This window comes from Homo sapiens, chromosome 8 (genome assembly GCF_000001405.40).
Source record: "Homo sapiens chromosome 8, GRCh38.p14 Primary Assembly".
NCBI classification, from domain to species: domain Eukaryota; kingdom Metazoa; phylum Chordata; class Mammalia; order Primates; family Hominidae; genus Homo; species Homo sapiens.
In genome coordinates, this window is record NC_000008.11 from 29,285,085 (window position 1) to 29,304,960 (window position 19,876).

A 19,876-nucleotide genomic window follows, 5' to 3' on the forward strand; every position below is an offset into this window, starting at 1 on the left:
GGCAGCCATAGTGCAACCCCATATCTACAGATAATAATAATAATAATAATAATAATAATAATAAATTAGCTGGGCGTGGTGGCATGTGCTTGTGGTCCCAGTTACTTAGGAGGCTGAAGAGGGAGCCTTGAGCCCAGGAAGTTGAGGCTGCAGTGAGCCACAATCGCACTACTACTCCAGCCTGGGTGACAGAGTGAGACCCTGCCTCAAAACAAACAAACAAACAACAAAAAATGGAAATAAGGGAACTCCACAAAGAAATTTACCAAAGGTTTCACCAAGATGTAGAGAATTACCCTATATTATTTATTGTTCTGACTTATATAAGTAACTTTAATTATAGAGTAAATTGCCCACAGTTCTCATTCCTTAGTGTAGATTTCCTCATTCTTTTTTTTTTTTTTGAAACAGTCTCGCTCTGTCACCCAGGCTAGAGTGCAATGGTGCGATCTCAGCTCACTGCAACCTCCGCTTCCTGGGTTCAAGTGATTCTTGTGCCTCAGCCTCCCCAGTAGCTGCAATTACAGGTGCACACCACCATGCTGGGCTAATTTTTTGTATTTTTAGTAGAGATGGGGTTTCACCATGTTGGCCAGGCTGGTCTCAAACTTCTGACCTCATATGATCTGCCCGCCTTGGCCTCCCAAAGTGCTAAGATTATAGGTGGGAGCCGCTGCACCCAACCGGATTCCCTCATTCTTGATGCATCTTTTAGTTGATTTTAATGTCTTGAGTTCCCCTGAACAGACTGTGAACTCGGTGGCTCTCAGCTGACAACTGCAGAAGGGATGTAGTGAGCTGATGTGAGAGGTAGCACCTGCTTCTACAATGGGACTTGTGGCTGTGTCCTGCGAGTCTGTTACACTGGCATGACTCAAGGCAAGGAGGGACAAGATGATGAGTCTCAAGTCTACTGCAGGGACATTCATTAAGAGCATGGCCTTCCCAGACAAGTGGTGCAAGCCTTGTATTAGGGAACTGTATACATGTTGAATCCTTGTCACCTGTAACTCTTGCCTACTCCGTAGTCCAACATGGTTCCTTTGATTCTGAAATCTCATTCTTGCTCTGACTATAGAAGTAATTGTGCTTTTCTATTTGGGTTTCTTGTGCCACATGTGATAAAATAGGGGAAAGCAAAAAAGGAGGCAGGAATAGATGAGTAGCAGAAACCATGATATCAAAATGGGAAGATGGTGGGTTTTGCACAGTCTACTGGAATACCCCATGCATTATCCTCAGGTTCCTAAGACACCAAAGAGAAGGTAAATTGTGGCCAGGTACTGTGGCTCATGTCTGTAATCTCAGCACTTTGGGAGGATGAGGTGGGAGGATCACTTGAGTCCAGGAGTTTGAGACCAGCCTGGGCAACATAGCAAGACCCTGTCCCTATTAAAAAAAAGAAAAGGAAAGGAAAGGTAAATTGTGTTGGATCAACCCAAAAGACTGCCCCCCCTTTCCCTAGATTAACTTATTCCAAATTTCTCTCTTCCTTGTTTTTCAATGTTCAGTTCATCACCTAGTCCTTTATCAGAAGAGTAAGCGGAAGCTGGTGACCTGTAAGGCTCCAGTGGCTGAGGTTGGGGGCTGGTGGGGGCGAGGCAGTTTAGAACTGCAAAATGAAAGCTCCAGTTTGCAAAAGCTAAGAAACTAGAACCTATCAAGCTGGCACTCAGGGGATGCAGCACCAAGGACCAAAGAAAAATAATCACCACCATTCTGGGACCATCAAGGAGCCCAGACAACATGAAATTCCAGCCCCAGCCAAGGGGTGACTAGGTCACCGAAAGTCTGAAACTGGTTCTCTATCCAGGATGTTATCAGTAAACCATAAACCGGATCAAGAATCCAGGAAGTTATGAGGGCGGGTCAAGGTGTGTTTGTGGCCTGATTTGAAGACAAGGCTTGTTTGCTTTAGAAGGTACGTCTGTATAATTGCTCCAGGGCAGGAACTGGGGTGAGTTCGGCCTATCCCAGACAAATGGGGCCCAGGAGGAAGAACCTGAGAACTGTGTGGCTGCAGATGAGCCGACAGACGAAGGCTCAGGTGTGAAGAAACAGAGGTGACAACAGTGCCACTCAACGCTGGCTGCACATTTGACTCACCTGGGAGCTTTAAAAAAAAAAAAAAAAAAATCCCAGTGTTCAGCCACGCCCCAGACCAATTAGATTGGAATTTCTGGGGGTTGGGCCCAGGCGCTGGTGTGTTTTTAAAGGCCCGAGGTGATTTTAATGTGCAGCCGGGACTGGGTGCCACTGGATTATCGGTAGGTTTTCAGAGCTGCTAAGAAGTTCATTCTGATGGATTCATTTTCTTGTGACTGGCTAGTAATTACAAAATAAGCTTTACAAAAATAGTGTTGAAAGAAACATTCAAACAATCCTAAATGTGCTTTTTAAACAGAGATAAAATAAATCCTCTTAGACTTCACCACTATACAATTCATCCATGTAACCAAAAACCACTTGTACCCCCAAAACTATTAATAATTACAACTATATATATATTTTTTCAAAGGTCTATATGCCAAGGCAAATCTAAAAAATGAAATAAGAAAATAAATTATCAATAAAGCTCCTTCTAGCTTTAAAAGGAAAAAAAAGTTCTACTTAAGCTAAGGAGTTGGGGTTTTATCCACATGGAGCAGGACCCTGGAAGATTTTTTAATTAATTAATTCATTCATTATGAGACAGGGTCTCGCTATGTTGCCCAGGCTGGTCTTGAACTCCTGAGCTCAAGGAATCCTTCTGCCTCAGCCTCCAGGTAGCTGGGGCCACAAGTGCGTACCACCATGCCCAGCTTCTAGGAGATTTTGATCAGAAGAGTGATGGAAAAAAAGTGAAAATGTAGGAAGAGTGATCAGACATTGAGGTATAATGTAGTCAATTTTGTTCTAAGGCAAACATTTATTAATAATAGTGGCTTAGCTGGGCGTGGTGGTACATGCCTGTGGTCCCAGCTACTTGGGAGGCTGAGGCAGGAGGATTGCTTGAGCCCAGGAGATAGAGACTGTAGTAGTGAGCCATGTCCAGTCACTGCCCTCCAGTCACTGCCACTGGGTGGCAGAGCGAGACCCTGCCTCAAAAAAAAAAAAAAAAAAAAAAAAAGTGCCGGAACAGTGGCCCACACCTGAAATCCCAGCACTTTGGGAGGCCGAGGCAGGAGGATCACTTCAGGTTAGGATTTCAAGACCAGCCTGGCCAACATAGCGAAACCTTGTCTCTACTAAAAATACAGAAATTAGCCAGGTGTGGTGGTGGGCACCTGTAATCCCAGCTACTCAGGAGGCTGAGGCAGGAGAATCACTTGAACCTGGGAGGTGGAGGTTGCAGTGAGCTGAGATCATGCCACTACACTCCAGCCTGGGTCACAGAGCCAGACTCCGTCTCAAAAACAAACAAACAAACAAACAAACAAAATAGTGACTAGCATTTATTGAAGAAAGCCCTGTGACAGTAACGGTCTTATTCAGCTCTGCCTTTTTTTTTTGAGACAGGGTCTCACTCTGTCACCTAGGCTGGAGTGCAGTGGTGTGATCATAGGTTACTCCAACCTTTGCCTCCCAGGATCAAGCGATCCTCCCACCTCAGCCTCCCAAGTAGCTGGGATTACAGGTGCCCGCCACCACGCCCAGCTAATTTTTTGTTTTTTGATAGAGATGGGGTTTCGCTATGTTGACCAGGCTGGTCTCAAACTCCTGACCTCGTGATCCGCCTGCCTCAGCCTCCCAAAGTGCTGGGATTATAGGCATGAGCCACCGAGCCCGGCCAAGTTACCTGATTTTCTAAGCTGCGTCTGGAGTACATGGAGGTGGAAAACAAGACTTTCCCATGTACCAGCTATGAGCCAAGTACTATTCTAGGCACTTTCACTTGCATGACTTCATTTAATGACAAACATTTGTATTTTTAAAATCTTTGGTCCTATTTATAAGTTAAAACTCTTTGAGAAGAAACCAATCCTTGGGAAGGCTATGGTTAATTTCAGCCTTATGGTAGCTGAAAGAAAAAATAAGGTTTCAGGGTTCCAGCTTAGGGTTTCAAGGAATGAAGCTCTGTATGGTGAGTCTTCTCAGCCTTTGAGAAGACTTATTGTACAGTTGTGTGGGACAGAATGGCACCACCTAGTACTTGATGTGTATCTGTGGAGAAACACACTTAGACGACTTAGAGCTAGGATTATGTCATTGTCAACACCAATGGCACGAAAATTCCCCCAGTCCCCGGAGGAGCTGAACAACAGCTGAGGTGATCAAATCTCTGATGGCCTCCACAGATGGACTCCTTCCAATATGGTGCCAGGATCATCCAAGAGGACAGCTGCCTTCCCACTGGATCCTGAGCAGGACTTGCGGGTTGGCTCACTGCTGAGGGCTGGCCCGAGGGATGTCAGAAGTCCAAGGACAGGAAAGCAACGTTCACGTGAGCTTTTTCCACCTTCCTTCTGTGAAGGGAGCCTGTGACTGAATAGAAGCCATGCTTAAAGTATCATTGTTTTAAAAGCTAATGTTGCTGTGTGGCTCTGAAACACGACTTGCCAACGAGCCCTCTCACAGGTGTTCATCTTGCTTATTCAGAAATGAATATTTCACAGCTTCCTGCCCTGGAAATTGGCTTCCACCCAACTGAATGAGTCACACACTTGTGGATAAGCTCTCTTGGGTAATTCTTCTTTAAAACTTTTTTTCTTACGGTAAAATGTACACAACGTAAAATTGACCTTTTTAACCTTTTATTTTTGAGACCAGGTCTCACTCTGTTGCCCAGGCTGGAGTGCAGTTATGCGGTCACGGCTCACCTCACTGCAGCCTCAACCTCCCAGGCTCAAGTAATCCTCCCACCCCAGCCTCCCGAATATCTGGACCACAGACATGCACCACCATATGTGGCTAATTTTTTTATTTTTATTTTTTGTGGAGACAAGGTCTTGCTATGTTGCCGAGGCTGGTCTTGAACTCCTGGCTCAAGTTATCCTCCCGCCTCAGACTCCCAAAGTGCTGGGATTACAGGCATAAGCCACCACATCCAGCCCATTTTAACCATTTTTAAGTGTATAGTTCAGTGATACTAAGTATAAAATATTTTTTAAGGTGCTTTATACCCTGAACTGAAAGATTTGACTACCCTTTGTCATGCCTAGTTTCTAAACTGTTGTTCTTGAAAGCTCCAAGTCATTCTAGAACCCAAGAGTCCTGCCATCAGAAGGGACTTTTAAAGGGTTTTTTTTTTTTTTTTTTTTTTTTTGTATCTATCTTATCCTGGAAAGGAAGGTCCATGCTTTTTTTGGAATTATATAAATTTTTGATTCTCTTCATCTACTTATAATCTCTCCTATGAAAACAGTTTTATTTTTGATTAAAAATGTCCATAAATTACAATGCAAAGAATAAATTCCAATGTAAACTATGGGCTTAAGTTAATAATGACGTGTTAATATTTCTTCAATATTATTCAATGGGTTAATATTGTAACAAATGTACCACACCAAGGCAAGATGTTAGTAACAGGAAACTTTGTGTTGGGAGAGGGGTTTAATATGGGAGCTCTCTGCATTTTCTGCTCAATTTTTCTATAAACCTAAGATAGCTCTACATAATAAAGTCTATTAATTAGAAAAAAAAAAACACTGAGGTTAATGAATTTCCCAAATAAGTCTTTCCTAGTCCTCTTTGAAACATCCTGCCCTCCTTCTTTTTTCTTTTCTTTTCTTTCTTTTTTTTTTTTTTTGAGACGGAGTCTTGTGCTGTTGCCCAGGCTGGAGTGCAGTGGCTCAATCTCGGCTCACTGCAACCTCTGCCTCCGAGTTCAAGTGGTTCTCCTGCTTCAGCCTCCTGAGTAGCTGGGATTACAGGCCCGTGCCACCATGCCTGGCTAATATTTGTATTTTTAGTAGAGACGGGGTTTCACCATGTTGGCCAGACTGGTCTCAAACTCCTGACCTCGTGATCTGCCTGCCTCAGCCTACCAAAGTGCTGGGATTACAGGTGTGAGCCACTGCGCCCGGCCTTTTTTTTTTTTTTTTTTTTTTTTTTTTAAAGAGGCAAAGTCTTGCTGTCACCCAGGCTGGAGTGCAGTGGTTCAATCACAGCTTACTGCAGCCTCAACCTCCCGGGGCCAAGTGATCCTCCCACGTTAGCTTCCTGGAGTAGCTGGGACTACAGGTATGTGCCACCATGCTTGCCTGATTTTTTTCTTTTCTTTCCTTTTCTTTTATTGATTGATTGAGACAGAGTTTCGCTCTTGTTGCCCGGGCTGGAGTGCAGTGGCATGATCTCTGCTTACCGCAACCTCCACCTTCCAGGTTCAAGCCACTCTCCTGCCTCAGCCTCCCAGGTAGCTGGGATTACAGGTGCAAACCACCACACCCGGATAATTTTGTATTTTTAGTAGAGATGGGGTTTCACTACGTTGGCCAGGCTAGTCTTGAACTCCTGACCTTAGGTGATCCACCCTCCTTGGCCTCCCAAAGTACTGGGATTACAGGGGTGAGCCGCCACGCCCAGCCCCCCACTTTGTTTTTAAAGAGACAGCTGCCGTCCTTAACAGTTTCTAGCTGAGTCCTACCTGGAACATTTTCCTTCAGCCTTCTTATCTTACTTAAAGGGGGAAAATATTAATAATACTATATTCCTGTCTGGGTGCGGTGGCTCATGCCTGTAATCCCAGCACTTTGGGAGGCTGAGGCAGGGGGATCACTTGAGGTCAGGAGTTCAAGACCAGCCTGGCCAACATGGTGAAACTCCATCTCTACTAAAAACACACAAAAAAATTAGCTGCGTGTGGTGGTGGGTGCCTGTAGGTCCAGCTACTCAGGAGGCTGAGACAGGAGAAGAGCTTAGACCTGGAAGGCGGAGGTTGCGGTGAGCCGAGATAGTGCCACTGCACTCCAGCCTGGGCAAGACAGCGATACTCTGTCTCAAAATAAATAAATAAAAATACAAATTAAAAAATACTATATTTCTTAACAAAAACCTGCTTGGAGTGTGAACTTTCCCTTTCTAAATTGATAGTCTTTTTCTGTCCTGTTTTCTACTTCTTTAGCTCATTATCTATCTCGTCTTTGGATTTGAAGTCTCAGCAAATCATGCTGTGGGATCTGTCACTATGCTCTCTACACCACGGACATGACTGCAACGGTATTTATGACTCCTCCTGTCTTTGAAAGGTGGGGGGAATAGTGGTTTCCTCTTTGTGCACTCTCCTAATCTCTTCCTTACCATGCTCTTAATTTCCTAATTCCCCCAAATCTTTACAACTGGATTTAAGAAACTCCTGAATCCATTTCTCACTATCTCCTTTTGGAAAGCAAGCTATTTCCAGCAATCTTCCAAACTAAAGGGAGGGCCTGGATTCAAAGGGAATGTACCTCATCAGGGCCCATGCAGTTGAGGGTCAGGTGGAGGTCAGCCTACGGCTGGCAGGGGCAGGGATAGCAGACATGCACAGGTCACCCTGAAGAAGATGCAGAGACTCCAGGGTCATTTGGTCCAACACCAGATAAGCCGGGGTCAGCAAGGTTTCAGACAGATGAGGCCGATCACAATAGCATGGAGAACGTCCAGGCAAATGGCTCAGATCTTCCGCCAAGCCCTGCAGCGTCTGAAAGATACATCCCAGTTGGGCTGGAAGGTGAGGAGAGGTTACCATCGGCAGACCACAGACCAGCAGGACCCAGAGAAAAGGCCAAAGCAATTCTACATCTTCCCCATCACTTCAACTTTCAGGTTTACACATGCAGCTGCAGCGGGTGTCCTAAAGTTTTTCTGTTTGGGTTTTCCCCTCTTCAGTCTCTGCCTGGGTCCTCCTGTCCCTGCGAAACTTCTTCCCCCCGTCTGTCCCCACGGGGCCCAGCACCCTCTTGGCATTGAGCAGAGCTGCTGATCTGGGATCAAAGTCGAACATGTAGCCTGTAATCCCAGCAGTTTTGGAGGCAAAGACGGGCTGATCACTTGAGGTCAGGAGTTTGAGACCAGCCTGGACAACATGGCAAACCCCATCTCTACTAAAAATACAGAAATTAGCCAGGCATGTAGCTCCAGCTACTTGGTAGGCTAAGGCAGGAGAATCGCTTGAACTTGGGAGGTAAAGGTAGCAGTAAGCCAAGATCACACCACTGTGCTCCAGCCTGGGCAACAGAGTGAGACTCCCTCTCAAAAAAAAAAAAAAAAAAAAAATTTAACATCCACCAGAGAAGCAAACCATCGCCTTGCTGATATTTAACCCCATTTCATGGCATAATTGGAATGACATATTTTATGATAAAAGACCACTTTCTTACCAGGAAGGAAAGACAGAGTGCACAGGATAGAACCCCCCCTTCCTGCTTCTGTGTGTGTCAGCTGTAACTGCAGTCTTTTATGCTGGAGGCATGTTTGGCATCACCCCAAAGAGCAGAACCTTCTGGGCCCAAAAGAGCCAGGATTAGAGGAAGTCTAGCTTTCCCAGGGTGGACCTGACCTCTGTTCCCTAACCAAGTCCTTGAACTTGGCTGAGGAGAGAGCTGCCATTCTCCAGGTATATTTGGGGGGTGGGGGGACTAGTCCATGACACCAGTGGACTAGGTGGGGGCAGGGAGACCCCAACTCATCATCATGGCTTTTGAGTCTGTGAGTCCATCACTCTCTGGGCCAGTGCAGAGGAGCATCTACCCCCCAATCTCTACCTGCCTACGGATAGCTAGGCAGGGATCGTGTGTGTGTGTGTCTGTGACATTCTATTTTGATGACATTCTATTTTGACTTGGTCCTCATTCTCACATCTCCTACAACCATTTTATTTATTTATTTATTTATTTTTTTATTGAGATGGAGTCTCACTCTGTGGCCCAGGCTGGAGTGCAGTGGCGTAATCTCAGCTCACTGCAACCTCTGCCTCCCGGGTTCAAGTGATTCTCCTGCCTCAGCCTCCTAAGCAGTTGAGACCACAGGTGTGTGCCATCATACCCGGCTAATTTTTGTATTTTTAGTAGAGACGGGTTTTCACCATGTGAGCCAGGCTGGCCTTGAACTCCTGACCTCAGGTGATCCTCCCTCCTTGGCCTCCCAAAGTGCTGGGATTACAGGTGTGAGCCACTGCTCCCAGCGTCATACTACCATTTAAATTATGCAGTTCTCATCGTGTCCTTAATTACCAATGATTATATTTCTTGTGATTTTTAAAAATATAACACACCTATCATTGACTTTCCTTCCTCTAATGAAATGATCCATTCTGACATTTTCTAATAATTCTTCAAGATGCTTTTTTTGTAAGTTGCCTCTCCTGGTTTCTGAAAATTTTACTTCCACCTGGGTAGGAATTTTAACAGAAATCCCTATGCCTGCTTTTCTTTTGAATGTGACTAAAGTAGAATATGAAGTCATAAAATAGTTCCTCTTTCATCATTTCTAGCCCCTCTGCTTTCAGTGGCAATTGTGGGGCTATTTCAGACTATATCAGCATTGAGACTGTTGTTAAATTCAGAGAGTGATAAAGGTGGAAGCACTTTAAAACTATGGCCACTATGCATTTGTTTTTTGCAGGACCATATACGTTATTGCCTGAAATTACACATAATCTAATGAAAAACAGCTAGAGGCTACAACAATGACTTTTACTGTTTTTCTTTTCTTTTCTTTGCTTTTCTTTTCTTGTGGAGACAGAGTCTCACTCTGTCACCCAGGCTGGAGTACAGTGGCACGATCACAGCTCACTGCAGCCTTGACCTCCCGGGCTCAGGTGATCCTCCCACCTCAGCCTTCTATGTAGCTGGGACTACAGGCACATGCCACCACGCCTGGCTAATTTTGGTATGTCTTGTAGAGTATGTGTTTCACCATGATGCCTGGGCTGGTCTTGAACTCCTGGGCTCTAGTGATCGGCCCACCTAGACCTCCCAAAGTGCTAGAATTATAGGTGTGAGCCACTGCACCTGTAATTTTACTATTTTTCTAATGATAATTTCCAAACTACTCACTGAATAATTTTTCTACTTCATTTTTTTTAAAAAAACATTCCATTCCCTTTAAACCATTAATTAAAAACTAATCCCTGGACTGTCTTACACTTTTACTTTTTTCTTTGTTTCTGCTTTGTAATATTCTAATCTACTTCATTTACTCCTTCTAAGCTTTTCTTTTCTTTCTTTCTCGTTATGTCACCCAGGCTGGAGTGCAGTGGCACAATCATGAGCTCATAGCAGCCTCAACCTCCTGGGCTTGAACAACCCTCCCTCTTCAGCCTCCTAAGTAGCTGGGACTTATAGGCATAAGCCACCACACCTAGCTAATTTTTAATGTTTTTTGTAGAGATGCGGGTCTCTACAAAAGACCCCAGGCTGGTCTCAAAATCCTGGCCTCAAGCAATCCTCCTGCCTATACAGCTGGTCTCAATCTTTTTTGGTCTCAAAATCCTGGCCTCAAGCAATCCTCCTGCCTCTACAGCTGGTCTCAATCTCTTTTGGACAGAGTCTGACTCTGTTGCCCAGGCTGGAGTGCAGTGGTGCAACCTCTGTTCACTGTAACCTCCACCTCCCAGGCTCAAGCAATCCTCTCACCTCAGCCTCCCAAGTAGCTGGGACTACTGGCATGTGCTACCAGGCCCAGCTAATTTTTGAAATTTTTGTAGAGATAGGATCTCACTATGTTGCCCAGGCTGGTCTTGGACTCCGGGGCTCAAGTGATCCACCTGCCTCCATCTCCCAAAGTGCTAGGATTAGAGGTGTGAACCACCACGCCTGGCCTCAATCTCTTATATAGGGGTGTTAATGTTCATGCTTGTGAACCTCTGCCTCATAGTCTGTGTAATTTTCATTTCTTCCCCACACTCAAATGTGGATATGCCATTTAGCAGTCTTTTTGTTGTTGTTTTTTGAGACAGAGTTTTGCTCTTTCACCCAGGTTGCAGTGAAGTGGAGCAATCTCGGCTCACTGCAACCTCTGCCTCCCAGGTTCAAGCAACTCTCCTGCCTTAGCCTCCTGAATAGTAGCTGGGATTACAGGCATGTGCCACCATGCCTGGTTAATTTTTGTATTTTTGGTAGAGATGGGGTTTCGCCATGTTGGTCAGTCTGGTCTTGAACTCCTGACCTCAGGTGGTCCACCTGCCTCAGCCTCCCAAAGCGCTAGGATTATGGGCGTGAGCCACCACACCTGGCCTCATTTAGCAGTCTTAATTACAAGCAACAGACACTGAGTCGGGCAGATAAAGCAGAAAGGAATTTGTGACAAGGCTACTGGGAAGATTGGCTGGGAAGGCAGGAGGACTCACCTTGAGGCTCAGCTTCCGGAAACAATGTCGAAACCACACTGCAAGCCTGGCCTGTGAGGACACGCCTGCCAGGGCCACTGGGCACCAGACTCCACAGTTAGCACCACTGTCTCTTTTGGGCCCCAGACTCACAAGGTAGCCACTGCTGGTGCCTTATCAACATGTTTGCTGTCTCCACCCCAGACAAAGCAAGTTTCCCTTCCGGGGTCAGAACCGCCTGAGCCCCAGTCCAATAAAAGAGCATCTGATTGGTAGAGCCCACATCACAGGTCTGTGTTATGTGACCCCGGGAAAGGGAAGTGGACTCACAACATGAATGGGAAACTTCCAGCACACAGGAAGCACCTTCAAAAGATGCTGCGTGGCCGGGAACAGTGGTTCATGCTTGTAACTCCAACACTTGGGGAGGCTGAGGCAGGAGGATTGCTTGAGTCCAGGAGTTCGAGGCCAGCCTGGGCAACATAGCAAGACCCCCATCTCTACAAAAAATAAAAAAAAATAGCTGGGCATGGTGGTCTGTGCCTGTAGTCCCAGCTACTTGGGAGGCTGAAGCAGGAGGATTGCTTGAGCCCAAGAGGTAGAGGTTGCATTATGTGATATTACTCCTAATATCACAGTGGGTGCACACTATGTGATACTATTTGAAATGTCTTAGAAAGATATTACTTCTAATATCAGAGTGCTTGCACACCTTGATATTATTCTTAATATCGTAGAAAGATATTACTTCTAATATCACACAGGGTGCAAACCCTGTGATATTATTTGTAATATCTTAGGGAGATATTACTCCTAATATCACAGTGGGTGCACACCCTGTGGTATTATTTGTAATACCCTAGGGAGATATTATGACTAATATCACAGTGGGTGCACACCGTGCGATATTATTTGTAACATCATAGGTAGATATTACTCCTAATATCACAGTGAGTGCACATTCTGTGATATTATTTGTTATATCCTAGGAAGATACTACTCCTAATATCACAGTGGGTGCACACCCTGTGACATTATTCCTAATATACTAGGAAGATATTACTTCTAATATCACAGTTGGTGCACACCATGTGTGTACACCTTGTGATATTATTCGTAATATCCTAGGGAGATATTACTCCTAATATAAGTGTGCACACCATGTGAGTACAACCTGTGATATTACTGGTAATATCCTAGGGAGATATTTCTTTTAATATCAGAGTGAGTCCGCACAACGTGTGTACACCCTGTGATATTATTCATAATATCGTAGGGAGTTATTACTCCTAATATCACAGTGAGTGCATACCGTGTGTGTACACCCTGTGATATTATTTGTCACATTCTAGAGAGATATTGCTCCTAATATCTCAGCGTGTGCACACCATTATTACCATATTGGTAATATCCTAGGGAGATACTTCTTTTAATATCAGAGTGAGTGCACACAATGTGTGTACACACTGTGATATTATTTATAATATCCTATGGAGTTATTACACCTAATATTATAGTGGGTGCACATCCTGTAATGTTATTTGTAATATCCTAGAGAGATATTAACGCTAATATCACAGTGAGTGCACACCCTATGATATTATTCATAATGATCAAGAGAGATATTACTCTTAATATCACAGAAGGTGCACACCCTCTGATATTATTCTTAATATTTTAGGGAGATATTACTTTTAATATCACAGGGGGTGTACACCCTATTATGTAACATTTGTAATATTCTAGTAAGATATTACTCCTAATATGGCAGTGGTTGTACACGCGGTGATATTATTCATAATATCCTAGGGCTATATTACTGCTAATATCATAGTGGGTGTACACCATGTGATATTATACGTTATATCCTAGAAATATATTGCTCCTAATATCACAGTGGGTGTACCCCTTGTGATATTATTCATAATAACCTAGAAAGATATTATTCCTAATATCACAATGGGTGTACACTCTGTGATATTATTTGTCATATCCTTCTGAGATATCACTCCTAATATCACAGTAGGTGTAAACCCTGTGATATTATTCCTAATATCCTAGGGAGATATTAATCCTAATACCACCATGGGTGTACACTATATTTGTACACCCTGTGATATTATTAGTAATATCCTAGGGTGATATTACTCTTAATAGCACAGTGGGTGTATACCAAGGGATATTATTCGTAATATCCTAGGAAGATAGATATTACTCCTAATAGCACAGTGGGTGCACCCAACGTGTGTACACCATGTGATATTATTCACAATATCGCAGGGTGTGCACACTTTTCTTTAATATTGTTTGCAATATCCAGATTGCAAGAGGATAATATTACTTCCTATATCACAGGGAGTGCACACTCCGCTGTGTTATTGTTCGCAATATCGAGGAGGCAAGAGGATGATATTACTCCTAATATCACAGGGGTTGTACACCCCGCTGTGATATTGATTGCAATATCCAGGGAGCGAGAGGATGATATTACTCCCAATATTGCAAAGTGTGTACACCAACCTGTGATATTTGCAATATCCAGGGGGCGAGAGGATGACATTACTCCCAATACTGCAGGGGATGCACCACCCCCCCGTGATATTGTGCACAATATCCAGGGGGCGAGAGGATGACATTACTTCCTATACCACAGTGGTGCACACTCCCCTGTCATATTGTTTGCAATATCCAGGGGGCGAGAGGATAATATTACTTCCAATATCTCAGGGAGTGCACAAACACCTGTGGTATTTTTCGTAATATTCAGGAGGCAAGAGGATGATATTACTCCCAATATTGCAGGGGGTGCACACTACCTGTGATATTGTTCGTAACATCCAGGAGCAAGAGGATGATGTTACTTTTAACATTGCAGGGAGTACACACCCCCCTGTAATAATGTTCGCAATATTCAGGGGGCGAGAGGATATTACTTTCAATATCGTAGGTGGTGCACACCCTCCTGTGATATTGTTCGCCATATCCAGTGGGCGAGAGGATGATATTACTCTCGATATCGCAGGGGCTGCACACACTCATGTGATATTATTTGCAATATCCAGGGGTCGATAAAATGATATTGCTCCCAATATCGCAGGGGGTGCACACCTTTCTGCAATATTGTTCGCAATTTCCAGGGGTTGAGAGGATATTACACCCAATATTGCAAAGGGTGCACACTCCCCTGCGATATAGGTCGCAGTATCCAGGGGGCGAGAGAATGTTATTATTCTCAATATCGCAGGGGGTGCACACACCCTTGTGATATTGTTCGTAATACCCAGGGGATGAGAAGAAAACATTACCCAAAATTTCGTGGGAGGGCGTAAACGCCCCTTTGATATTGTTTGTAATATACAGAGGGGGGAGAATGATATTACTCCCAATATCACAGGGGGGTACAGCCCCCTGTGGTGTTGTTCCTAATAACCAAGGCAGGGAGGAGGTGATATCACTCCCAATATCATAAACACCCTACGTGTACACCACCTTGTGCTATTGTTCATAATATCCAGAAGGAGAGAGGTAATATTTCCAATATCGCACGGGGTGTATACTCCTGGTAATATTGTTCACAATATCCGGGGGGGGGGGGAGATGTTGATACTACTCTTAATATCGAAGAAGGCGTACATACCCTTGTGTTATTGTTCGTAATATCCAGGGGGCGAGAGGATGATATTACTTCCAATACTGTAGGGGCTATACACCCCTCTGTGATATTGTTTGTAATATACAGGTTGTGGGAGGAAGATATTACTCCCAATATCGAGGAATGTACACCCTCATGTGATATTTTTCACTATATCCAAGAAGCGAGAGGATGATATTAATCCCGACATCGCAGGGAATGTACATCCGACTGTGATATTGTTCGCAATATCTGGTAGGAGAGAGGATGAAATTACTCCCAATATCGCAGAGAATGTACACACCCTTAGCTATTGCTCGTAGTATCCAGGGGAAGAGAGGACTATATCAATCCCAATATGACAGGCGGGTGTACACCCCCCGCGATATGGGGAGTAATATCACTCTCCTCTCCCCTCCTGGATATTAGGAACCAAATCACGGGGGGGGGTGAACACTCCCCGCGACATGGGGAGTAGTACCACCCTCCTCTCCCTCTCTGTAAATTATGAACCGTATCACAGGGGAGTGAACATCCCCCGCAACATGGGGAGTTATATCACCCTCCTCCCCCTGCCCCCGTATACTAGGAACCATATCACAGGGGGTTGTACACACCCCGCGATATGGGGAGTAATATCACCTTCCTCTCTCCCCTTGGATATTATGAACCATATCCTGGGGGAGTGAACACCCTCTGCGATATGGGGAGTAATATCACCCTCTTCTCCTCCCTGGACATTACGAATCACATCACAGGGGGGTGAATACACTATGTGTTTACTTTATTAAGTGTAATGTCATCTTCTGCCTCGATATTACAAACAATAGCACAGGGGGGTGTACACTTTCTGTGATATTGGGAGTAATATCATTCTCTCTTCCCCTGGATATTAAAAACAATATCACAGAGGTGTGTACATACAATGCGATATTAGGAGTAATATCATTTCCCCCCCGAAATATTAGAAAAAATATCATATGGGTGTATCCTTCACTTGCAATAATGGGAGTAATAGCATCTTCTCCTTCCCTGGATATTAGAAAAAATATCATAGGGGAGGTGATTAAGAACAATATCACAATGCCCTGTGATATTCGGAGTAATATCCTCTCTTTCACTGAATATTAGGAATAATATCAAAGGGGGAATGTACACTCCCTGTGTTATTGGGGGTAATATCATACTCTCCCTCCCTGGATATTAGGAACAATATCACAGGGTGGGTGTACAACCCCTGCGATATTGGGAGTAATGTCATCCTCTTCCTATATGGATGTTAGGAACAATATTACAGGGGTGGTGTACACCTCCCACGATATTGGCAGTAATATCATCCTCTCCCCCCGAATATTAGAAACAATATCACAGGGTGGGGCTGTACATTCCCTGCGATAATGAAAGCAGTATTATCCTCTGTTCCTCTGAAAATTAGGAATAATATCACAGGGGTAATATACACCCCCTGCGATATTGGGAGTAATATAATACTCTTTCTTTCTGGATATTAGGAACAATATCATAGGGAGAGTGAAAACCCCTGCAATATTGGGAGTAATAATATCATCTCCTCCCTTCCTGGACATTAGGAACAATATCACAGGGAGGGTGTATACCTTCTATGATACTGGAGGTAATATCATCCTCTTCCTCTCTGGATGTTAGAAATAATATCACAGGGTATGTGTACATTTCATGCTATAAAGGGAATCATCATTTTCTTTTTCCCCTGATATTATGAACAATATCGCAGCAGGGGTGTACACACCCTGCGATATTGGGAGTAGTATAATTCTCTCCTTCCCTGGATATTTGGAACTATATTACAGAGGGGCTGTACACCCTCTGCAATATTGGGAGTAATATCATTCTCTCCCACCTTGGATATTAGGGGCAATATCCAAGGAGGCTGTACACCCTCTGCGATATTGTGAGTAATAGCATTCTCCTCCTTCCTCAATATTAAAAACAATATCACAAGGGGGATGTACACCTTGCAATATTGGGAATAATCTCCTCTATCTCCGTTGACATTAGGAACAATATCAAAGGGGAAATGTACACCCCCTGCGATATTGGGAGTGATATCATACTCTCCATCCCCCCGGATATTAGGAACAATATCACAGGGTGGTGTTCATCCCCTGCGATATTGGGAGTAATATTATCCTCTTTTTTCATGGATATTATGAACAATATCATAGGGGGGAGTACACTCCCTGCAATAATAGGAGTAATATCATCTTCTCCCCCTTGGATATTAAGAACAATATCACAGAATGGATGTATAGTTCCTGCGATATTGGGAGTAATATCAAAATCTCCCCTCCTAAATATTAGAAACTATCACAAGGGGTGTGTACACTCCTTTCGATATTGGGAGTAACATCATCCTTTTCTTATTGGATATTAGGAAGAGTATGACAGGGTTGGTGTACACTTACTGCGATATTGGGAATAATATCATCATCTCTCTCTTTGGATATTAGGAACAATATTCCAGGGGCGGTGTACACCCCCATGCAATATTAGGAGTAATAATAATCTCTCCCCCCTTGATATTGTAAACAATATCACGGGGGGGTTTATACCTCCTGCCATATTGGGAGTAATATAATCCTCTCTCCTCCTGGATATTAGAAACAATATCACAGTGGGAGTGTATACCCTCTGCCATATTGGGAGTAATATTGTCATCTCCTTCCCTGGATATTGGGAACAATATCACAAGGCGGGTGTACACCCCCTGCAATATGGATAGTAATATCATCCTCTCCCCTCATCTGGATGTTAGGAACAACATCACAGAGGGAGTGTATACCCCTGCGATATTGGGAGTAATATCATTTTATTCCCCCTTTAATATTAGGAACAATATCAAGGGGGGAAGTGTACACCCCCAGCAATATTTGGAGTCATGTCGTGCTATCCTTTTCTGGATATTAGCAGCAATATCACAGGGGGAGTGTACAACACCTGTGGTATTTATGGTAACATTATTTTCTCCCCCACTGGATATTAGGAACAATATCACAAGGCATGTGAATACTTCCTGCGATATTGGGAGTAATATCATCCTCTCCCTTCTTAAATATTAGAAACAATATTACAATGGTGGTGTACACCCCCTGCAATATTGGGAGTAACATCATCCTCCCCCACCCCTGAATATTAGAAAAAGTATCACAGGGGTGGTGTACACTAACTGCAATATAAGGTGTAATATCGTCACCTTTCCCAGTGAATATTAGGAACAATATTACAGGGGAGTGTACAGCCCACTGCGATATTGAGAGTAATATCATCATCTCCCTCCCTTGATATTCGGTACAATATCACAGGCCGGGTGTACACCTTCTGTGATATTGGGAGTAATATCCTTCTCCCTTCCTGCATATTAGAAACAATATCACGGGGGTTGTATACCCCCTGCGATATTTGGAGTAATATCATCGTCCCCCCCTCGTGATATTAGGAACAATATCACAGGGTGGTGTACAAACCCTGCAATATTGAGTGTAATATCATCCTCTCCCCGGCTGGATATTAGGAAAAAACATCACAGTGGGGGTGTACACTCCCTGCGATATTGGGAGAAATTTTGTATTTTCCCACTTGGATATTAGAAAAATATCACAGGAGGGGTGTCAACACCATGCCATATTGGGAGTAATATTATTCTCTTTCCCCTTGGATATTATAAACAACATCACAGGGGGGCATACACTTCTTGCAATATTGGGAGTAATATCATCCTCTTTCTTCCTGGATATTAGGAACAATATCACAGGGGGAATGTACACCACCTGCAATATTGGGAGTAATATCATACTCCCCCCACCAGGATATTAGGAACAATATCCTGGGGGGGTGTACACCCACTGCGATATTTGGAGTAATATCATTTCCTCCCTCCCTGCATATTAAAAACAATATCACAGGGGATGTGTACAACTTTTGCGATATTGTTGTTAACATCATCCTTTTTCTCCCTGGATATTAGAACAATATCACGGGGAGGGGAGTACACCCCCTGCGATAATGAAAGTAAGATCATCTTTTCCTTCCAGATATTAAGAACAATATCATGAGGGGGATGCACAGTTCCTGCGATATAGGCTGTTAATATTGAGAGGTGACAGCGTGCTGGCAGTCCTCACAGCTCTCGCTCGCTCTCGGCGCCTCCTATGCCTGGGTTCCCACTTTGGCAGCACTTGAGGAGCCCTTCAGCCCACCGCTGCACTGTGGGAGCCCCTTTCTGGGCTGGCCAAGGCTGGAGCCGGCTCCCTCAGCTTGCAGGGAGGTGTGGAGGGAGAGGCACGAGCAGGAACCGGGGCTGCGTGCAGTGCTTGCGGGCCAGCTGGAGTTCCCGGTGGGCATGGGCTTGGTGGGCCCCACACTCGGAGCAGCCGGCCGGCCCTGCCGGTACTGGGCAATGAGGGGCTTAGCACCCAGGCCAGCGGCTGCGGAGGGTGTACTGGGTCCCCCAGCAGTGCCAGCCCACCGGCGCTGTGCTTGATTTCTCACCGGGCCTTAGCTGCCTTCCTGCCTGGCAGGGCTCGGGACCTGCAGCCCGCCATGCCTGAGCCTCCCACGCCCTTCATGGGCTCCGCTGCAGCCCAAGCCTCCCTGATGAGCGCCGTCCCCTGCTCCATGGCTCCCAAGTCCCATTGACCACCCAAGGGCTGAGGAGTGCGGGCGCACGGCGTGGGACTGGCAGGCAGCTCCACCTGCAGCCCCTGTGCAGGATCCACTGGGTGAAGCCAGCTGGGCTCCTGAGTCTGGTGGGGATGTGGAGAACCTTTATGTCTAGCTCAGGGATTGTAAATACACCAATCAGCACCCTGTGTCTAGCTCAGGGTTTGTGAATGCACCAATCGACACTCTGTATCTAGCTACTCTGGTGGGGCCTTGGAGAACCTTTATGTCTAGCTCAGGGATTGTAGACACACCAATCAGCACCCTGTGTCTAGTTCAGGGTTTGTGAATGCACCAAGTGACACTCTGTATCTAGCTAC

At 44.7% G+C, this 19,876-nt stretch overlaps 1 long non-coding RNA gene across 3 annotated transcripts in view, besides 1 other annotated feature; it reads right to left on the reverse strand.

Moving 5' to 3' along the window:
• Positions 1–2,888: 2,888 nt before the first annotated feature.
• The window catches only part of LOC124901922 (uncharacterized), a 32,348-nt gene continuing 15,360 nt past the window's right edge, over positions 2,889–19,876 (reverse strand). The window contains exons 2-3 of one of the 3 annotated variants that reach the window (XR_007060874.1): positions 7,368–7,600; positions 2,889–4,464 (exon numbers count right to left, since the gene is read on the reverse strand). This is a non-coding gene — a long non-coding RNA (uncharacterized LOC124901922). Of the gene's footprint in view, positions 4,465–7,367; positions 7,937–19,876 lie in introns of those variants that run through there. The other 2 variants (XR_007060873.1, XR_007060872.1) reach the window with 2 other exon arrangements.
• Positions 11,368–11,662: an enhancer, noted in NCBI's record as "tiled region #4987; HepG2 Activating non-DNase unmatched - State 3:PromF, and K562 Activating DNase matched - State 8:EnhW". NCBI's record gives its function as "activates a minimal TATA promoter and a strong SV40 promoter by Sharpr-MPRA in HepG2 and K562 cells {active_cell/tissue: HepG2 | K562}" and the evidence as "EXISTENCE:reporter gene assay evidence [ECO:0000049][PMID:27701403]".